Source organism: Homo sapiens, chromosome 10 (assembly GCF_000001405.40).
Source record: "Homo sapiens chromosome 10, GRCh38.p14 Primary Assembly".
Lineage (NCBI taxonomy): Eukaryota > Metazoa > Chordata > Mammalia > Primates > Hominidae > Homo > Homo sapiens.
The window spans coordinates 65533713-65552152 of NC_000010.11; positions in this window are offsets into that span (position 1 = coordinate 65533713).

The following is an 18440-nucleotide window of genomic DNA, read 5'->3' on the forward strand; positions in this document are numbered from 1 at the left end:
CAAGGTCAGAAATAGTAGACTTACTTTCCAAATTTGATGTCTAATTATTCTCCCTCTGAATGCATCTCTTTAATTAGGTTTTCCAATGATAACAAATAAAACTGTGTGAAAGACATATACCAAAATCCAAATAACTTCTTTAATATGTTAGTGAGATTTTTTAGTTGCTTTTTTTTGCAATGAATATGTTATTTGGATAAAGAGGAATACACTTATAAAAATAAATGAGCATATTTTCCAAATTTAAATTATTAGAAATTTTACGGTTTGAGGTATTAAGGAAGTAACATCAAAGTTTCGCCTATGTTTCATGTTTCTTCAAATTTTACTTCACAGCACATTTTCTATATTTGTTTAGATACATAGAATTTTTCTTAATGAAAATAAATAGAAATTTTATAAACTACAGATGCTTAAAAAGAAGAAAATTCTAAGCTTTTATAATACCCACCAAAAGGAAATGACCAAAGCAATCATATTTTTGTTGGTAGTATCTTTTGATGTGCATATGCATGGGTGTGTTTTTTATAAACAAAACAAGATTATATTCATTTTAAAGTTTCTTTATTGCAAGTAATCCATCATAAATATTTTAATGTTTTAACATTTTATAATATGTTCAAAATATAACCTACATTTATGTTTCTATTTTATCAAAATGATCTTTTTGTTTAATTTGGTTTATTTTTTGAAAAATCAAATATTTTGTCTTTGTATTAAGCTGCTTATATTTAAGAGGATGTTAATTATTTTACATGCTTCAAAAGAATGTACCTCAACTATTTAATGACAATTTCCTGTAAAGAGAATCATAAGGAATAAGATATGATTGTCACATCTCAAGAAATGGCCTAGCAAATTCAGTTCAACCATAGCAATCACACACCAATAAAAAGAAAAACAATAGGAAAGTGCAAGAAGGTAAACAACTCTTCTATGGAATCTATAATAAAAACTACTAGGAAACAAACCTTTGTAATATTTGAAAATATACCAACAAAAGCACTTCAGAACAGTTTGAACTCATATTCAGTATAATGCTTTCATCTCTGAAAATGAGCAGTGCATACAGAAGAGTTTGGGGACTTGGTTTGCATTGCATAGGATGTGCTGATCCATTGCCATGAAAAGATTTTGGGCATGTATTCTAGACATTAAATTATGGTAATTGAAATGGGAAAATATCTGTAGCCTTTCTCAATGTGTTTGGGTTAGTTGCACATGAACATCTGCTTTCCCTTTATAACCCGAGACTGGAGAATAGCATCAATTTGCAGGCATTAACAACTTCTGCTCATAAAACAGCAGACAACTCTCTGTTGGAACACCACACCACATAGTCTGCTCAGGGAACAGTCTCTAAGCGCTTACAACAATATCAAGCCAAAAAATGTACTTGCTAAAAAGAAAAGAGATCAGTGTTCAGCCATTTTGTGTGGATATTTCTTTCTTCCTCTTTTTCCTTCCATCCTTGAGTAGATGGAAAAGTTCACGTTTGTGCCATTTTAAATCACAATTGATAAGTTATTAAAACTATAATGTTTACAGTATATTGATATGACTCAAATTTCTCACAACCTATTCACTCTACTCCCTAGAGAAACCATGGTATTTTTTCAGATCCTTTCTCTGCATAAATTTTACAGTATTATTTTTGTAACTAGCTTTTCCCATTTACATTATTGATATAGGTGTGATAAACGTAAACATAGTAAGTATATCATGTCAAGGGATCCATATGATTTCATTTAGGTATATAAAATAATTATGTAACTTTTCTTTTATCGAAAACATTTTGCTGATGTAAATTATATTCCAAATATTAAGGACAAAATAATTTCAGTTTTATAAAAAATATTTGAAGAGAAGAAAGAGAGGGAACTCTTTCCACCTTGTTAGGAAGTCAGATAAACATGACAAAGGTATCAAAAGATGAAAAGGTAAAGGCCAATCTTTGTTAAAAACACACAAGCAAAAATCCCTAACATCGTCAACTTCTTTTCAACTTTGTACCAAATTGGGCAATAGAATAAAGAAAGAAAAAGAAATAAAAGAATAAAAATTGGTAAAGTTAATTATTGTGCAAATGTCCAAATGAATCTGCAAGAAACTCTTAGAATCAATAAGTGGATTTGGCAAATTCACTTGAAAAACAATTATTATGAAAAATCAATTTTACTTTGATACACCAGCAACATTTAAAAAAATTTGAATAACCGTTTTTAGTTTTATCAAAAATACACAGGACTTAGGAATAAATCCAGTGGACAATGTGAAAACTACAAAACACTGTTGAAGAAAATAAAAAGAGCCCAAATAAATGTAGAGACATATGCTGTTAATGAATGAGAAGACTTCATATTTTAAACATGTCACTTCACTCTAAATTTATTTTTTGATTCAATATAGCCCCACCAAAATTGCAGCAGCTCTTTTTTTAATTGTTAAATGGTGAGTTGATTCTAAAATATATAGAAAAAGAATGGGCAACAAATAGCAAAAAATACATTTTCCTCCATTCCTCTTGAAGTTCACAGGGCACTATCCTGTCTGACCAATTCCTGCCTTGGTTTAAGCAGGAGAAGTCAGAAGTGGAGGCAGGTCCACCCCAGGCTCTTCATGCTCACAGCATCTAACACTTCCTTGCTTGGCTTGCATCCAGAGGGGCACCTTCTTTCTCTCACTAGTTTTCCTGAAAATATGTTGTGCTATGGTTTCTTCTTCAATCAGATCTCATTGCACAATATCTTTGAAAGAGTACTCATAGTTATTCTTCTAATTTTAAGTATTCAAGGTTATAGATTTGTTAAACAAAAGATAATTTTCTATTTGTTTAGAGATTTAGGATCAAAAGGGTCAGCTGTAATGTGTAGTTTGAATTTTGATCCAATTCTCCTTGGTTATAGTTTTCTTTTTAGAAACTCTTCACAATGAAAATATGATGGATGTAGTATATGTACAATCTTACCAAACAATATCCTAAAACAAGAAGGTTGTTGGGTATTCAAATGAGTGAAATCTTAAACTTTTTGTTTGTCAAAGGAAATCTAAGGACATAAACAATATGTCATTGTGTATGTTAGAAGTGACGCATATCAACAATTTCCATGAGTTGTCTTCAGCTCCAATTCTACATTTGTCAATGCTGTTGACTTCTTTGTAATTCCCTCTAGACTCACCAAGAAACTGGCAGAATCTCCAGCTAATTTGGAATAGAAATGTGATGTGATGAATTAATCTAGGTATTTAGCTTCTGATATGAGGACTCACAGCTCAGTTAAAATATTTTTCCCGAGTCCTAGAAATCAGAAATCCATTTGGAAGGAAGTGGCTTGCAGTTCCCATTAATAATTTTCTGAGGGTATCAAAATATACAGTTTTTCTTCATCAGTTTATCAACCACTTTATTTTGCATGCATCATTTTTATACATGTATTACTTATGAATCCAATAGCTCTTTTTCTTTAAAATATCCTGACTCATAATATAATTAAAATTATAAAATGCATAGTGGCAGGGAGATATTTATCTGTGAAGAGTGATGTTTTTAGAGACTTAGATACAGTGCTTAAATTGGAGAATATTACCAATATGTCTCCTATAAAAAATGTAACTCAGAATAACATATTAAAGGGTATTGGAAGTCCTAGCCAGAACAATTAGGCAAGAGAAAGAAATAATGGGCATCCAAATAGGAAGAAAGGAAGTCAAACTATGTTTACAGAAGACATCATCCTATATCTAGAAAACTCCATAGTCTTGACCCCAAAGCTCCTTAAGCTGATAAACAACTTCAGCAAAACCTCAGAATACAAAATTAATAGCATTCCTATATACCAACAATAGTCAAGTGAGAGCCAAATCAGGAACATAATTGCATTCACAATTGCCACAAAAGAAATAAAATACCGAGGAATATAACTAACCAGGGAGGTGAAAGACTTTATCAAAGAGAACTATAAAACACTGCTCAAAGGAATCAGGGATGACACAAACAAATGGAAAAGCATTCTATTATCATGGATAGGAAGAATCAATATTGTTAAAATGGCTATACTACCCAAAGCAATTTGTAGATTCAATGCTATTCCTATCAAACTACCAATGGTATTCTTCACAGAACTAGAAAAAAAAAACTACTTTAAAATTCGTATTGAACCAAAAGAGACCTCAAATACCCAAGGCAGTCCTATGCAAAACCAACAAAGCTGGAGGTATAATGCTGCCCTACATCAGACTATACTACAGGGCTATAGTAACCAAAACAGCATGGTACTGCTGCAAAGACAGACACGTAGACCAATGGAACATAATAGAAAGCCAAGAAATAAAGCCACACATCTACAACTATCTGATCTTTGACAAAACTGACAAAAAAACAGCAATAAAGAAAGGAAATGCATTTCAATAAAAGGTGCTGGGATAAGTGGCCAGCCATATACAGAAGATTGAAACAGAACCCCTTCCTTACACTATATACAAAAATTAACTCGAGATGGATTAAAGAGTTAAATGTAAAACTCAAAACTATGAAAACCCTGGAAGACAACCTAGTAGGAATGGGAAAATATTTCATGACAAAGACACCAAAAGCAATCACAACAAAGGAAAAAATTAACAAACTAAACAGCTTCTGCACAGCAAAAGAAACTATCAACAGAATAAACAGACAATCTACAGAATGGGTGATAATTTTTGCACACTATGCATCTGACAAAGGTCTAGTATCCAAAGTCTATAAGGAACTTAAACAAATTTACAAGAAAAAAACAAATAACTCCATTAAAAAGTGAGCAAAGGACCATTTTCACAAGAAGACATACATGTGGCCAACAATCATATGAAAAAAAGCTCAACATCACTGATCATTAAAGAAATACAAATCAAAACTACAAGACACCATCTCACATCAGTAAGAATGGTTGTTATTAAAAAGTCAAAAATAACAGATGCTAGTGAGGTTGTTGAGAAAAAGGAATCCTTATTCACTGTTGGTGGGAGTGTAAATTAGTTTAGCCATTTTGGAAGGAAATGTGGCAATTCCTCAAGGACCTAGAAACAGAACTACTATATGACCAAGCAATCCCATTATTGTGTATCTACCCATAGTAATATAAATTGTTCTAACATGAAGACACCTGTGCATGTACGATCACTGCAGCACTATTCACAATGGCAAAGACGAGGATTAAACCAAAATTCTCGTCGATGGTAGACTGGATAAAGAAAATGTGGTACACTTACATGATGGAATACTATGCATCCAAAAACAGAATGAGATCATGTCCTTTGCAGGGACATGGGTGGAGCTGAGGGCCATTATCCTTAGTAAACTAACACAGGAAAAGAAAATCAAATGCTGCATGTTCTCACGTATAAATGGGAGCTAAAGGATGAGAACACACGGCCACAGAGGGGAACAATAGATACTGGGGCCTATCGGAGGGTGCAGGGTGGGAGAAGGGAGAGAATCAGGAAAAATAACAAATGAGTACTAGGCCTAATACCTGGGTGATTAAATAACCTGTACAACAAACCCCCACATGACACAAATTTACCTATGTAACAAACCTGCACATGTACCACTGAACTTAAAAGTTGGGCTGGGCACAGTGGCTCAGGCTTGTAATCCCAGCATTTTGGGAGGTCGAGGTTGGTGGATCACTTGAGGCCAGGAGTTGGAGACTAGCCTGGCCAACATGGTGAAACACTGTCTCTACTAAAAACACAAAAATTAGCCAAGCATGGTGGCAGGTGCCTGTAGTCACAGCTACTTGGGAGGCTGACACAGGACAATCGCTTGAACCCAGAAGGCAGAGGTTGCAGTCAGTTGAGATTGCACCACTGTACACTCCAGCCTGAGCAACAGAGCAAGGCCCTGTCTCAAAAAAAAAAAAAAAAAAAAAAAAAAAAAAAAAAATATATATATATATATATATATGTTAAAAATATATATATGTTAAAAATAAAGAAAAGGAAAAAAGACAAAAATAAGTACAACAAAAAAGAGTAGTGTTCTGACCAGACACCAAAAATTTTGAAAGGAAAAGACAAAAGGAAAATATTTACAAACTAATGTTTTAAATGTATGAAGGCATAAAAGAACTGATGAAAAATCTCATTGTTCTACATGACTAAATATAATTTACTTTTGCTTTCATGATCAAATTTATGATCACTTTTCTAAACAATTGTTTGTTTCACTTCATATCTGAGTGACAAGTGTTTTCCCTTTTGCTAAATTAAAATAAACATGCATTTCTGCCTCATTTGATGGGTTTGGGAGAGAGACTTTATTAGTTTCATTTTTTACTGTTTTTTTTTTTAAATCACAGAGGTGTTGGGATTTAAGCTTATGCTGAATAGCACGCTATTTGATGCTATCTTTACAATGATTTTTCTGATAATGCCAATTTCACAGATATGTTATGACCCAGAATTTTAAGATTGTCTCTTTTGTTTTCAAATTTACTTTCCTTTTAAATAAAAAACATGATTATCAACAGGTTTTATGCATTATTAATGGCTTAAATATAGGGAACATTTTGGTCTTATAATGCACACATTATTCATCCTATATTATTTCACTTACTCTTGAGCAAAGAAGGATGTTACCTTAAATTTTAAAGTAATAGCTGACTTGTTTGTCTAAAACAAGTATCAAAGTTAACTGTCATTCCTTAGCTATAACTTTAAAAGTTACTAACTTTTCTTTTAATTTTAGAAAAGTCCCCAAAGTTTTTTTATTTTCAACTTTGTACACTTAAAAGATTTTGTCAGAAGAGTAAATGCAGTTTACAATAGAAAGGTAACGTGACAAATCCAGGAACTCTTGATGTACATTGCTAACTGTAAATTTATATACATTACTGAAAATCTGTGTTAAGTTAATGTGAAATAGCTTTACAATTTCAATTTGTATTAGCCTAGTGATGATTTAGAATTTATCTCCATTCACATAGTGTTTACTAAACACATACATGCAACATACACATATTAAAAATATTACACAATATTTTGTTTTCAAATGTCCTAAAATAGTAAATATTATATAAAACTTAAGTTTCTTATAAAACTTTAAGAAGTTTGTACAGACACAAATATAGTTGATAGTATTATGAAGTTGCTATAAGACATTTACTGTAAGACATTTACTCTTTTGGACATCAGTGAACTTTTGTAAAATTGTACATTTCAGGGATGTTTTGGTGATTCGATTTGGTGACAGTCTCTTCCCTCACCTTCTGTTCTCTCACTCTCAGAGTATATGTGTCTCTTGTTAGGTTGACACCTCTCTCTCCCCTGTGTTTGTGCTTATATATAATATTCTCTAACATCAATGTATCATTGTTTCTTCAGATTATCCTTGTCTTCTCTGCATTCTAACCTATCCTCTGCAACTTGGCTCTTTCTGTAAAGACTATAACTATGTTAAAATGTAAACTTCTTTCATATTATTGTTATAATCATTTTACTACCTTGAATATGATCCCTCCAAAGCTATGCACCTGTCTCTGCTCTTTCTTTCTGTTGATAATTCCCATTTATTTCTTAATCTTAAGTTTGAAGAATCTACCCCTGAATGCTCATTATATGAACTGCAGCTATCAAATGTAATAAATACTTTAGTTCTAATGTTGCTTCACCACATCCCCCCACAAAACATATCTAATCAGGCCCCAACTCCAATCCTACCTCTATAAAACCATGTCATATCGATTTTTGTTAATGTCTTTGTATTGGGCCTACATGGCTAGGATGAACAATGTTTCTCAGAATTCCCATTGTTCTATATTCCTTCCGGTGGATCACAGGAGACATTTTAAAGATTAGAAGGCAAAAGTGAACCACAACCATTTATTTTTCTAATGCTAAGAAAGGTCTAATGCTAGGAAACAACAGAAGGTGTTGTAGCTCATGTATATGGTCATTTACCTGCTGGCTTGGGACATTAGATAGCCCACTTTCTTCCAGAACTTTCTTCAACTTCTCCAACTCCTGGGTCAGGACTTATTTAGATTCATGAGGAAAAGCACCAGTTTCTTTTGACACCATCATTGAAGTTAGAAGCAGTAAGACACTTAAACAGGTTCCAGTCTGTCCTGGTGGGTTCAAGCCCACTTTCATAAGTTCTAGTTTCTACTCGTTCTCTCCTATTTCATATCCATCTTCCTTTCTGACTTACTGACCTCAGATGTCAAGCTCCAGGATCAGATGAGAAGACAGCAGCCTTACACAAACTCTTTAGCCAATGTCCACAGTTGTACAAGGACAGATCCTTTTAATAAATTATGAAAGTATATCTATCTCTGGCCGGGCGCAGTGGCTCACGCCTGTAATACCAGCACTTTGGGAGGCCAAGACGGGCGGAACACGAGTTCAGGAGATCGAGACCATCCTGGCTAACACGGTGAAACCTCGTCTCTACTAAAAATACAAAAAAAATTAGCCGGGCATGGTGGTGGGCGCCTGTAGTCCCAGCTACTCGGGAGGCTGAGGCAGGAGAATGGCGTGAACCCGGAAGGTGGAGCTGGCAGTGAGCCGAGATCGCGCCACTGCACTCCAGCCTGGGTGCAGCTCTGGGTGACAGAGCAAGACTCCATCTCAAAAAAAAAAAAAAAATGTAAGTATATCTATCTCTGTCTCATCAATTTTTAATCTATCATACACCTATCTTTTTACCTATCTATCTTTTATAATAGTTTTCTTTGATGATCATGCCTGGACTGATAGAGTCCCCTAATCTTTCCTTTGTTTCTTTTCTGACTTTGATCATTACAATCTCCTGACTGGTGTTTCTGCCTCCAATCTTGCACCTCTCCAAGCATTCCCCCCAGCTATAAAAGTTAATTTAACGTTATCAAAATTTATTTGTGTTATTTTCCAAAGTAAAACCCTGTTGTGGCTCTTGGTCACTTTCACTGCACACCACAAAACACAGATATGATCTCCAAGGCATTATGAGTTCTGGAATTTAAAAAAATCTCTCCACTCTTATTTTTCACTACAACCCCATCACCTATGAGCATTAGGTACACACTTTCATTCAGCTATGCCTAAATATTTTAAATTCTTTAGACCTCCTTTGCTTTCATTCAAGCTCCTTCCTTACTTCTGTATTCATGATGAATATGTAATCATCTTCATGACTTATGTCAAGAAATGTCCCTCCTGGTGATCCTCTCAGGTGAATAAAAGCTACTCCTGTATCAGTCACTTAATTGTGAATGAATATTTTTTATGTAAACTTTTCCAATGCTAAAAGGATAATTTACCAGCTTTACTGATCTTTACCTTTGTGCTGTGGCCCCTTAATACACTAATAGTATTGGGGAGAGTGTGGTGGGGATTTAATTTTGGATTAACTTGGAAGGTAACCTTCGTCAGCCAATGGAGTATGAAAAATATGTTGAACTCCACTCTGGGTGTCTTTATGCCTGATAAACCTGTCACAAGGATCCTTTGCTCTCCCGTGCATTTCAGTGTCTGTGGACAGCCTTTCTGACTCTTAATAATTTTAGTATATATAGACTGCTTTATCCACTTTTTAGCTTCCTCTTCCTATTATGGAAAATATACGACAAACCCTCTTTACTGATTTCCATGTGTGCTTTGTTTTTTGTTTTGTTTTGTTTTGTTTTCATTTACTTTCTTGACCCTTTCTCTGGATTTGTGTCTCTCAGGTGTCATTCTGTATACTCAACAGAGCTCTACTAAATTTGATTACATACAAACATGCAAAAAGAACCAATGATAACTGATGCCTCTGCTCTACAACTCCTCAGAACATGGGACCTAATAATCTCAGATGATATTAGATTACATCACATTATAATTATAATTATAATAACAAATTAGCCCCACATAAAACTGTGGGAGGCTAATATTGCATAACAGAGCTGATGTTTGGGATAAATGGAATTCTGTTCTCATCAGAGGCATCAACTATGACGGAAGCTTATGAAGGTGAAGGAGGATCGATTTAATGAGGACCGTTAGAATTCTAGCCCTAATTAATATTAGAATTAGCTACTTTTTCTCACACTACACCATGCATCATTTCAAATAGAAAAGTAGTGCCTAATGAAACTGTGGAGCCTAGTGTTAAATCATGGGTATCTGAGCCAGAGGGTCTGCTTTTGATTTCTGCCTTCGCTACTTACCAGCTGTGTGACCTTGGGCAAGTGTCTCTCTTCCCTCAGTTTAAAATTTTGCTGCTATTTCTCAGAGGGTTGTAGTGAGAAATTCAGTGAGTTTAATGCCAACCTTAGAATTCTTTAGGCAATGAAATATTAGCAATGGGAAGAATGAAAAGACCCTGACATGGAGATCCCTTTATTTGTCATTTGAAAAAAGGGAGTCTAACAGATGCTTTCAAATCTTTCCTTTGTTTCTTTCTTTCTTTCCTCCTCCCTCTCCCTCCTTCTTATTCTTAATCAGACATCATTCTGCCTTTAAATGCTCAAAAATGTTAGAAAGAATCCCTTACTGGAGACTCTTATATGGAACCCTGAAAATGGGGCAAACCAAGTATTTATTTATTGTGGTAGGTTCACTTTGACAAATCCACAATGGAGAGATATAAGAGAGCTGCTTCTCTGAGAACCGTTTTGTTTTCTCTCATTTCTTGTGGTCCTTTTTCTTTTGACATCTCCACCTTCCCCACATTGTTCTTCTTCTTCATAGCCCTGACCCATGTGCAGGCATTTTTGTTCTAAACAGTTTCCCTTTAAACTTTTTTGCAAGTATTGAGGTATGAAGAGATTCTCAGACAGAAAATGAGTGTAAAGAATGCAGGAAAGGTGGTTTCCCTCAACTGGGAATAACCTACTGCAAAAACAGACATTTCTAATGTTGAGACTTAGCCCCATCTTTTAACTCCATTTGTCATTATGCCAAAAAAGTTTCCATTTTTTATGTGTTTCTAAAAGCCTCTACTATGATTTTATTTGGCCCAGAGTTCCAGAGTATAAAGCTTCCTTCACAGTGGATATGGCAGTTATCCTGCTCTGTCAGGTTTTATTTTTAATTTTTTTTTATTTCAGTTTCTGGGTTTTTGTTTTTGTTTTCTGTTTTGTTTTGGTTTTGCCTTTGTGGCAAAGGAAGAAAAGAGAAAGAAGTTTTTGTTTGCTCTAGGAAGGAATTTTGTTCACAGTGGACATGACAATGAGGGTTCAAGGGCAGGGAATTCCCACACTCTGTCAATATGAGGGGCACCTGTGACTCCTAGAGCTTAGGACAGGACTTTGAACAAAGTAAGTGTTAAATAAGTAATCATTTGACAACTGAATGGAGTGTGTGTTCATGAGGCACTGCTGATGGTGGCAGCAAAGTCAACACAAAGACACTGAAAGCAACAATCCAGGCAGCACTGATGGCTCCTTCCTGGGCCACTTAGAGCTACAGAAGAGTCCAGAGCAATGACTGTGACTGTGGCCCGACCAAGATGGATTTAGAGTTCCTTCCAACTTGATTACGCTTTAGACAAGTTTCTTCCTGACTCTAGGCTGCTGGCCTCCCTTTTCTTAAAGCATTTACTTTACAAAACTTGTCATTGTAAATCCTGCCTCTGCCCCTTTGAGATACATGTAAATCATCTCCCAGGCTCTTACCTGTTTTACAATGCAAAAATGACTTTGTTCAGGTCCTGAGAACCATTTCTTTGAAAATGTGTTGCCTATACACCATGGAATACTACACAGCCATAAAAAAAGAATGAAATAATATCCTTTGCAGCATCATGGATGCAGCTGGAGGCCATTATCCTAAGCAAATTAATGCAGGAACAGGAAACCAAATATTTCACATACTCACTTAGACGTGGGAGCTAAATACTGAGTACACATGGTCACAAAGAAGGGAACAATAAATACTGAAGATTACTTGAGGGTGGAGGGTAGGAGGAGGGTGAAGGTTGAAAAACTACATATTGGGTGCTATGCTGACCACCTGGGTGATGAAATCATTTGTATACCAAACCCCCAAAGATATGTAATTCACCCATATAACAAACCTGCACATGTCCCCTCTGAACCGAAAATGAAAGTTGAAAAAGGAAAAACAATGTGAAATATAAACAGCAAGGAAGATAGTGCCCCTATCTCCCAGTTCCAGTGGGAGCACAGGAGTCTTTCCACTTGAACAAAAGGGGCTTGCTATGTTCCAAGTCATAAAACCAAGTCCTATTATGAAAAAAAAAAGAAGTGGCTGGGCGTTGTGGCTCACGCCTGTAATCCCAGCACTTTGGGAGGCCAAGACGGGTGGATCACAAGGTCAAGAGATCGAGACCATCCTGGGCAAGATGGTGAAACCCCATCTCTACTAAAAATACAGAAATTAGCTGGGGATGATGATGGGCGCCTGTAGTCCGAGCTACTTGGGAGTCTGAGGCAGGAGAATCCCTTGAACCAGAAGACAGAGGTTGCAGTGAGCCAAGATCGCACCACTGCACTCCAGCCTGGCGACAGAGTAAGACTCTGTCTCAAATAAAAAAAAAAAAGAGAGAGAGAAAAAAGAAAAGAAAGTTTACTTTTCCTTTGGGTAAGGCCAACTGGCAAACCCAGACGGCCTAGATTCCCCCTCCCCAGTCCAGCTCTTAATAACTCTCCTGCTTTTGTATCTGAGGAGCAGGGTGTCTACACCCGCCCCATGCTAGCAACAGTATCAGAATAAAATTGTCTTCTCTCTGCTCGTCATGTTATCATGTCTGGTGCAATTTTGTCTTTAACAAGACCAACCAGCAGAGTGTGGAATATAAAACCGGTCACTTAAGGATTTGTCTTTAGGAACAAAAGCCGGCTGACAAATCACCTGGAGTAGCTTCAGATACAGGTACCATAGAGCAGAGAGTTACTCAGACACTATTCGTAACTGCCAGAATAAGACAACTGGGTAGAAAGAATTTATTCAGTAACACCATATGTGGGGTAAAAAGAATCAGGTCTCCTGACAGTGCCATACAAATACATGTATGAAAGCATGATTTACTTGAGGCTGGCTACTTAGAAGAGACTCCTCCTGGCTGTGTATGCTCTGAATTGCTGAATAATTTGGAGCTTTTTATGGAAAATAGATTGGGCAGCGCTTTATTAATACTTTTGGCTTTCCTTTAACTAAAGAGGAAATCTCCATCTTTATTAAGACATCATGTAGGAACAAATCAAAGTCTAGCAAGACATTCTGACCTGCCTCCTCTGGCCCACTCTTTGAGTGAGGTTCCAGCATTTTTGTCTTGTTTTCTGAGGCTTCATTGAAGAAACTTCACTTTTCCTTTTCTGACATTCACCTCACTCCCTCACTCACTTCTCAGTCTTCGGTTATTTCTTTTCCAATAAAAACAGCCTCTGCAAGATTTTCTTTTGTGACTGTAATTTCTGTGCAACTATAGAATTAACTGACTTGAAGACAGAAAACTGGGCAGAGAAGAGAAAAGAGAGAGAGAAAGATTAGGCGTGAGGCTATAGTTATAAATTGATCAAAGTTTCAGATTATGACAGAAGGAGGTAAGGTAAGTTGGAGAGAGATATATACACAGAGCAGTACAGGGCTTAGAGTGAGAAGTTACGAACATGGGAATGAGTCTGCTTTCTGTTTATAAAGCTATTTCTGGAACTTTTGTGAACTTCTCTGTAAAATCACTGCCTTACCTGTCAAACAATTTTGATAGGAACAAGTGAGATAACACAAAATTATGTGCTATAAACTATAAATTACTATAAGAATTGTCAGTATTCATTTAAAAGATATTCAAAAGGTGCTTACTCTAATAAACCTTGAGTTATTTTTATGATTTTTTCTTCATTATAATTATAAATTTTTAATCCTGATGAGAGTTGGTAATAAAAGCAATTACAGAGATGAGGAACTGTATTCATAAAGGGCCTGGACACATTTTTATTAACCAAAGGAAGAAATCTATTGTGGGAATTTATCAGCAAGCCTCATGAAGCACAGGAAACCACTTTTAAGCCTGTTTTTTTCACCCTTAGTCCCAAATCTATAATACAGCAACACAAACAGACAAAATATGTTCCTCAGAGCTTTCTCTGTCCTAAGGGAGAAAATAAATTTGTTCTGGTTTGTTTGTACTTTCCAGGAAACCAGAGTTTAGTAAATACTTTAATAGTTTATCAAAGGACTCCAAAAATCTGCTACCATAACAGTGTCGGTAAATTAAATTTTGCTTGCTTCTAGTTTGATGTATGTAGCATAATTGGAATCCACTTTATTTTTAAAGAATGGACTTTATGTGGCATCTATAAGTCTTCAATGTAAAATAAAGAATAACATTTATTCAATGTGTTGTGCACAGTCATGTTCCTGCTATAGACAGCATAGTCTGTAAGACTACACATCCTAAGATTGTTCACACATAGTTACTACGTGGCATTTGATATCCATAGCTCAGTGGTCTAAAAACTCAGTAATTCTCAGAAGGCTACATGTTTCTCATATGCAGGCTTGCCATCTGCAGTATCCTGGTCAGACTCTATATATCCAGTTACTGCAGTAAAAATAGGAACTACAATAACATAAACAGATGCTACACATTTGCTATGGTTGGAATGTGCCCCCTCGAACATTTATGTTGAAACTTAACCCCCATTGCGGTGGTATCAAGAGATGGGTCCTTTGGGGAAGTGATTAAATCATGAGGGTTCCCAGAACTATAAAAACCCTAAACCAAAACCTAGGCAATACATCCTAAACATAGAAATGGGCAAAGATTTTTAAACAAAAACATCAAAAGCGATCACATCAAAAGCAAAAAATTGACAAATAAGGTCTAATTAAACTAAAGAGCTTCTGCACAGCAAAAGAAACTATCTACAGGTTAAAGAGACTTGTAGACTATCCACAAGTTAAAGAATCTACAGAATGGGAGAAGTTTTTTGCAAACTATATATCTGACAAAGTTCTAATATCCAGCATCTATAAGGAACTTAAACAAATTTGCAAGAAAAAAAAAAAAACCAAACAACCCTGTTAAAAAGTGGTAAAAGAATACGAATAGACACTTTTCAAAAGAAGACATACATGTGGCCAGCAAGCATATGAAAAAAATGCTACACATCCTAACAATTATAGAAATGCAAATCAAAACCACAATGAGATACCATGTCATGTCAGAATGACTATTAATAAAAAGTCAAAAAATAACAGATGCTGGTGAGGTTGTGGAGAAACAGGAACACTTATACACTTTGAGGGGGAGCATAAATTAGTTCAACCACTGTAGAAAGCAGTGTGGTGATTCCTCAAATTGCTAAATGCAGAATTAACATTTGACCCAGCAATCTCATTACCAGGTAGATACCCAGAGGAATATAAATCATTCTAACATAAAGACACATGTCGATGAATATTCATTGTGGTGCTATTCACAATAGCAAAGACATGGAATCAATCTAAGGGCCTATCAATAACAAATTGGATAAAGAAAATGTGGTACATATACACCATGGAATACTATGCAGCCCCCAAACGAACAAGATTATGTCTTTTGCAAGAACATGGGTGGAGCTGGAGGCTACTGACCTTAGAAAACTAACACAGGAAGAGAAAACCAAATACTGCATGTTCTCACTTATAAGTGGGAGCTAAATGGTGAGAACTCATGAACACAAACAAGGGAACAGTGGACACTGGGGTATACTTGAGGGTAGGGGGTGAGAGAAGAGAGAGGAGCAAAAAAACACAAAAAACAAAAAACAAATAAAAAACTATTGGGTACTAGGCTGAATACCTGGGTGATGAAATAATCTGTACAACAACCCCCCTTGCCACAAGTTTATCTATATAACAAACTTTCACATATACTCCTGAACCTAAAACTTTTTAAAAAAATCATGAAAGTTCCACCTTTTTGAATGCATTAATCACCCGCAAAAGGGCTGGAGGGAACCAGCTTAAGCTCTTTTTTGCTCTTTCATACTTCCACAATGTGAGGACATAACAAAAAAGCTCTCAGCAGACACCAAATACAGGCACCTCGATCTTGGAATTTCCAGATCTGTAAAAACTTTTAAAAATACATTTTTATTATTTAAAAAGTACTCAGTCACTTTATTTTGCGTTTTTTTAAAACAGCGACAGAGACTAAAATAACACTTTCTTTTATTTATCCAATAATAGACACATTTTATGAAGACTTCTAGTTTATTGGATATCAGTAAAATATCTTGTAATGTAACATTAGCTATTACCAAATAATATATGGCAATGATTTTAAATATCGAATAGTCTTATTGACTTAATTAGCAAACAAAAAAACAGCAGTCTCCTGCTCCTTTCCCTCCCCTGTCTTTCCTGTTCCTTGATTCCTACTCCACAGCAGTAATCACCCTCAGCTATTTTAACTCTAATTTAGTACTAATTTATTTTTTCTATTTTTCCGTGTTCTCATAGAATACATTTGTATTGTATTTGGAGGATTTTGAAATTCAGAAGTAGATATCCACTACTACCCTTACATTATATCCAGATATCAATATTATCTACTAATCTTGCATTGTATGTTGTAGGTAAAATAACTATATTCTGTTATTTAGGCTTTTATTTTAAAATATCTAAATTTTCTTTCATATATATGTCACTGGATATGATATTTTAATATTGGAGATTGTTCTTATTCAGAATTGGCTCTGTTGGTTGTAAGTTCCTCGTTTTTGTTTGTTGAGGTCTCTGTCTTTCACACCACATCGTAATTACCCAGTAATCCTTGGTTGTCTACTCTATTACGAATAAAGCACTAAAAAGCTGATTGGAAGCCCTAAGTATATGAAAGAGATTTCTGGCTAGCAGGTGGCACATTAATTTAAAAAACTTTTCATAAAATTATTGGAGGATTTCTGGTTTTCAAAATCTATGGATTCTTTTTCTTCTTTGCGAAGGTAAATTCCCCTAAGAGAATTCTCCAGTCTTAGGGGAGAACATCCTGACAGCAAACGTCCTGAGAGCAAAATCAGGACAGGGGCATGAGCCCCCTGGATTGGAACATAGTCCATCAATTAATCCCTGTTTCTGTTTTGCTTCCAGACCCTAGTAATACCTACTGTTCCTGGATTCGGAGTTTCTCAGATTCGATCTGTACAGAGAGTATGCTGCCAATCTTCTACTGGATTGGGGAAAAGTTCTTCTTTGCTGTGTGGGCGGATGAGAAGGCAGCTGGTAGGCTAAGTGCTTTCAAGTCCCCTGGCACTTGGAGGGCTATTTGGTGTGCATGCTTATTGAGTTATTCTTGGTTTTGCAGACAAGTAACCTTGTGACCAGGTGTTGCTCCACTCTCAGCTTTGGTTACAGATTCTGCTAAGTAAGCTGTCACTTTTCTATTGTCCTATCACCTCCTAAAATACTGCTGTTGTTGCCTCTCCTTTCCTTTTTACTTGGCATGTATTCCCTTTGAAAACGTCTTCACTGTTAATTTAAAAGGATTTAGAATGCAACAGAGATAAACGCGTGTTTAACGTATCATGTTTATAAAGAAGTCCACCACGTCTTTCTTTCATGGGATCTAAGCATGATCATTGAGATGTAATACAGAGGAAATAAATTTCAAAAATTTTTAAAGTTACCTGGCAGAAATTTAGATAGCTATTTTCTGTTTAAAACATCAAGTCAGTATTCATATCTTTTTTTTTCCTTTTAGCCTCTGTTATGGCTTGGATGCTTGATGCCTCAAAACCTCATTTTGAAATTTGACCTCAGTGTTAGAGATGGAGCCTCATGGACAGTGTCTGGGTCTTGGGGGCAGATCCCTCATTAATAGAAAAATGCTTTGCCTGAAAGGGAGTAGTGGTAAGTGAGTTTTTGCTCTATAAGTTCCCAAGATAGCTGGTTGTTTAAAAGAGTCTTGTATCTCCCTGTCTCTCTTTCTTCCTCCTTGCCAAATGATCTCTGTACATGCTGGCTCCCCTTCACCTTTCGCCATGAGTAAAAGTAGTTAGAAGTAGTCATCAGATGTAGATGCTGGCACCATGCTTCTTGTACAGCCTGCAGAAGCATGAGCCAAATAAAACTCTTTTCTTCATGAATTACCCAGCCTCAGGTATTCCTTTGTAAAGCACTAAATGGACTAAGATAGTATCTGAGTCTTAGTATTTTCAAGAAAATTTGAGCCGTATTACCAATAACCAATGAGTCATTGCTTCTCACTCTTTCTTCATTTTTAATACATTCTGTCCTTTCTAGCCACACCACCAGAATCCTTTATATAATCTAGGACAGGATACTAATTATCAATTTATTTTCTACCTATTTAGAGTGTCCTTTGTTTGGCTACCTTGAAGTTTTACTTAAGGGGTTACCATGGCCCTGTAGTAAATTCTTTACTTGTGTTCTGAGTGTCTTCCCCTTTCCTAGACTGTAAAGCATAAAGCTTGAGTTCATTCATTGTTGAATGAGAAAATGAAGACTGCAAATACTTGTCTGTTAAGTTCAGA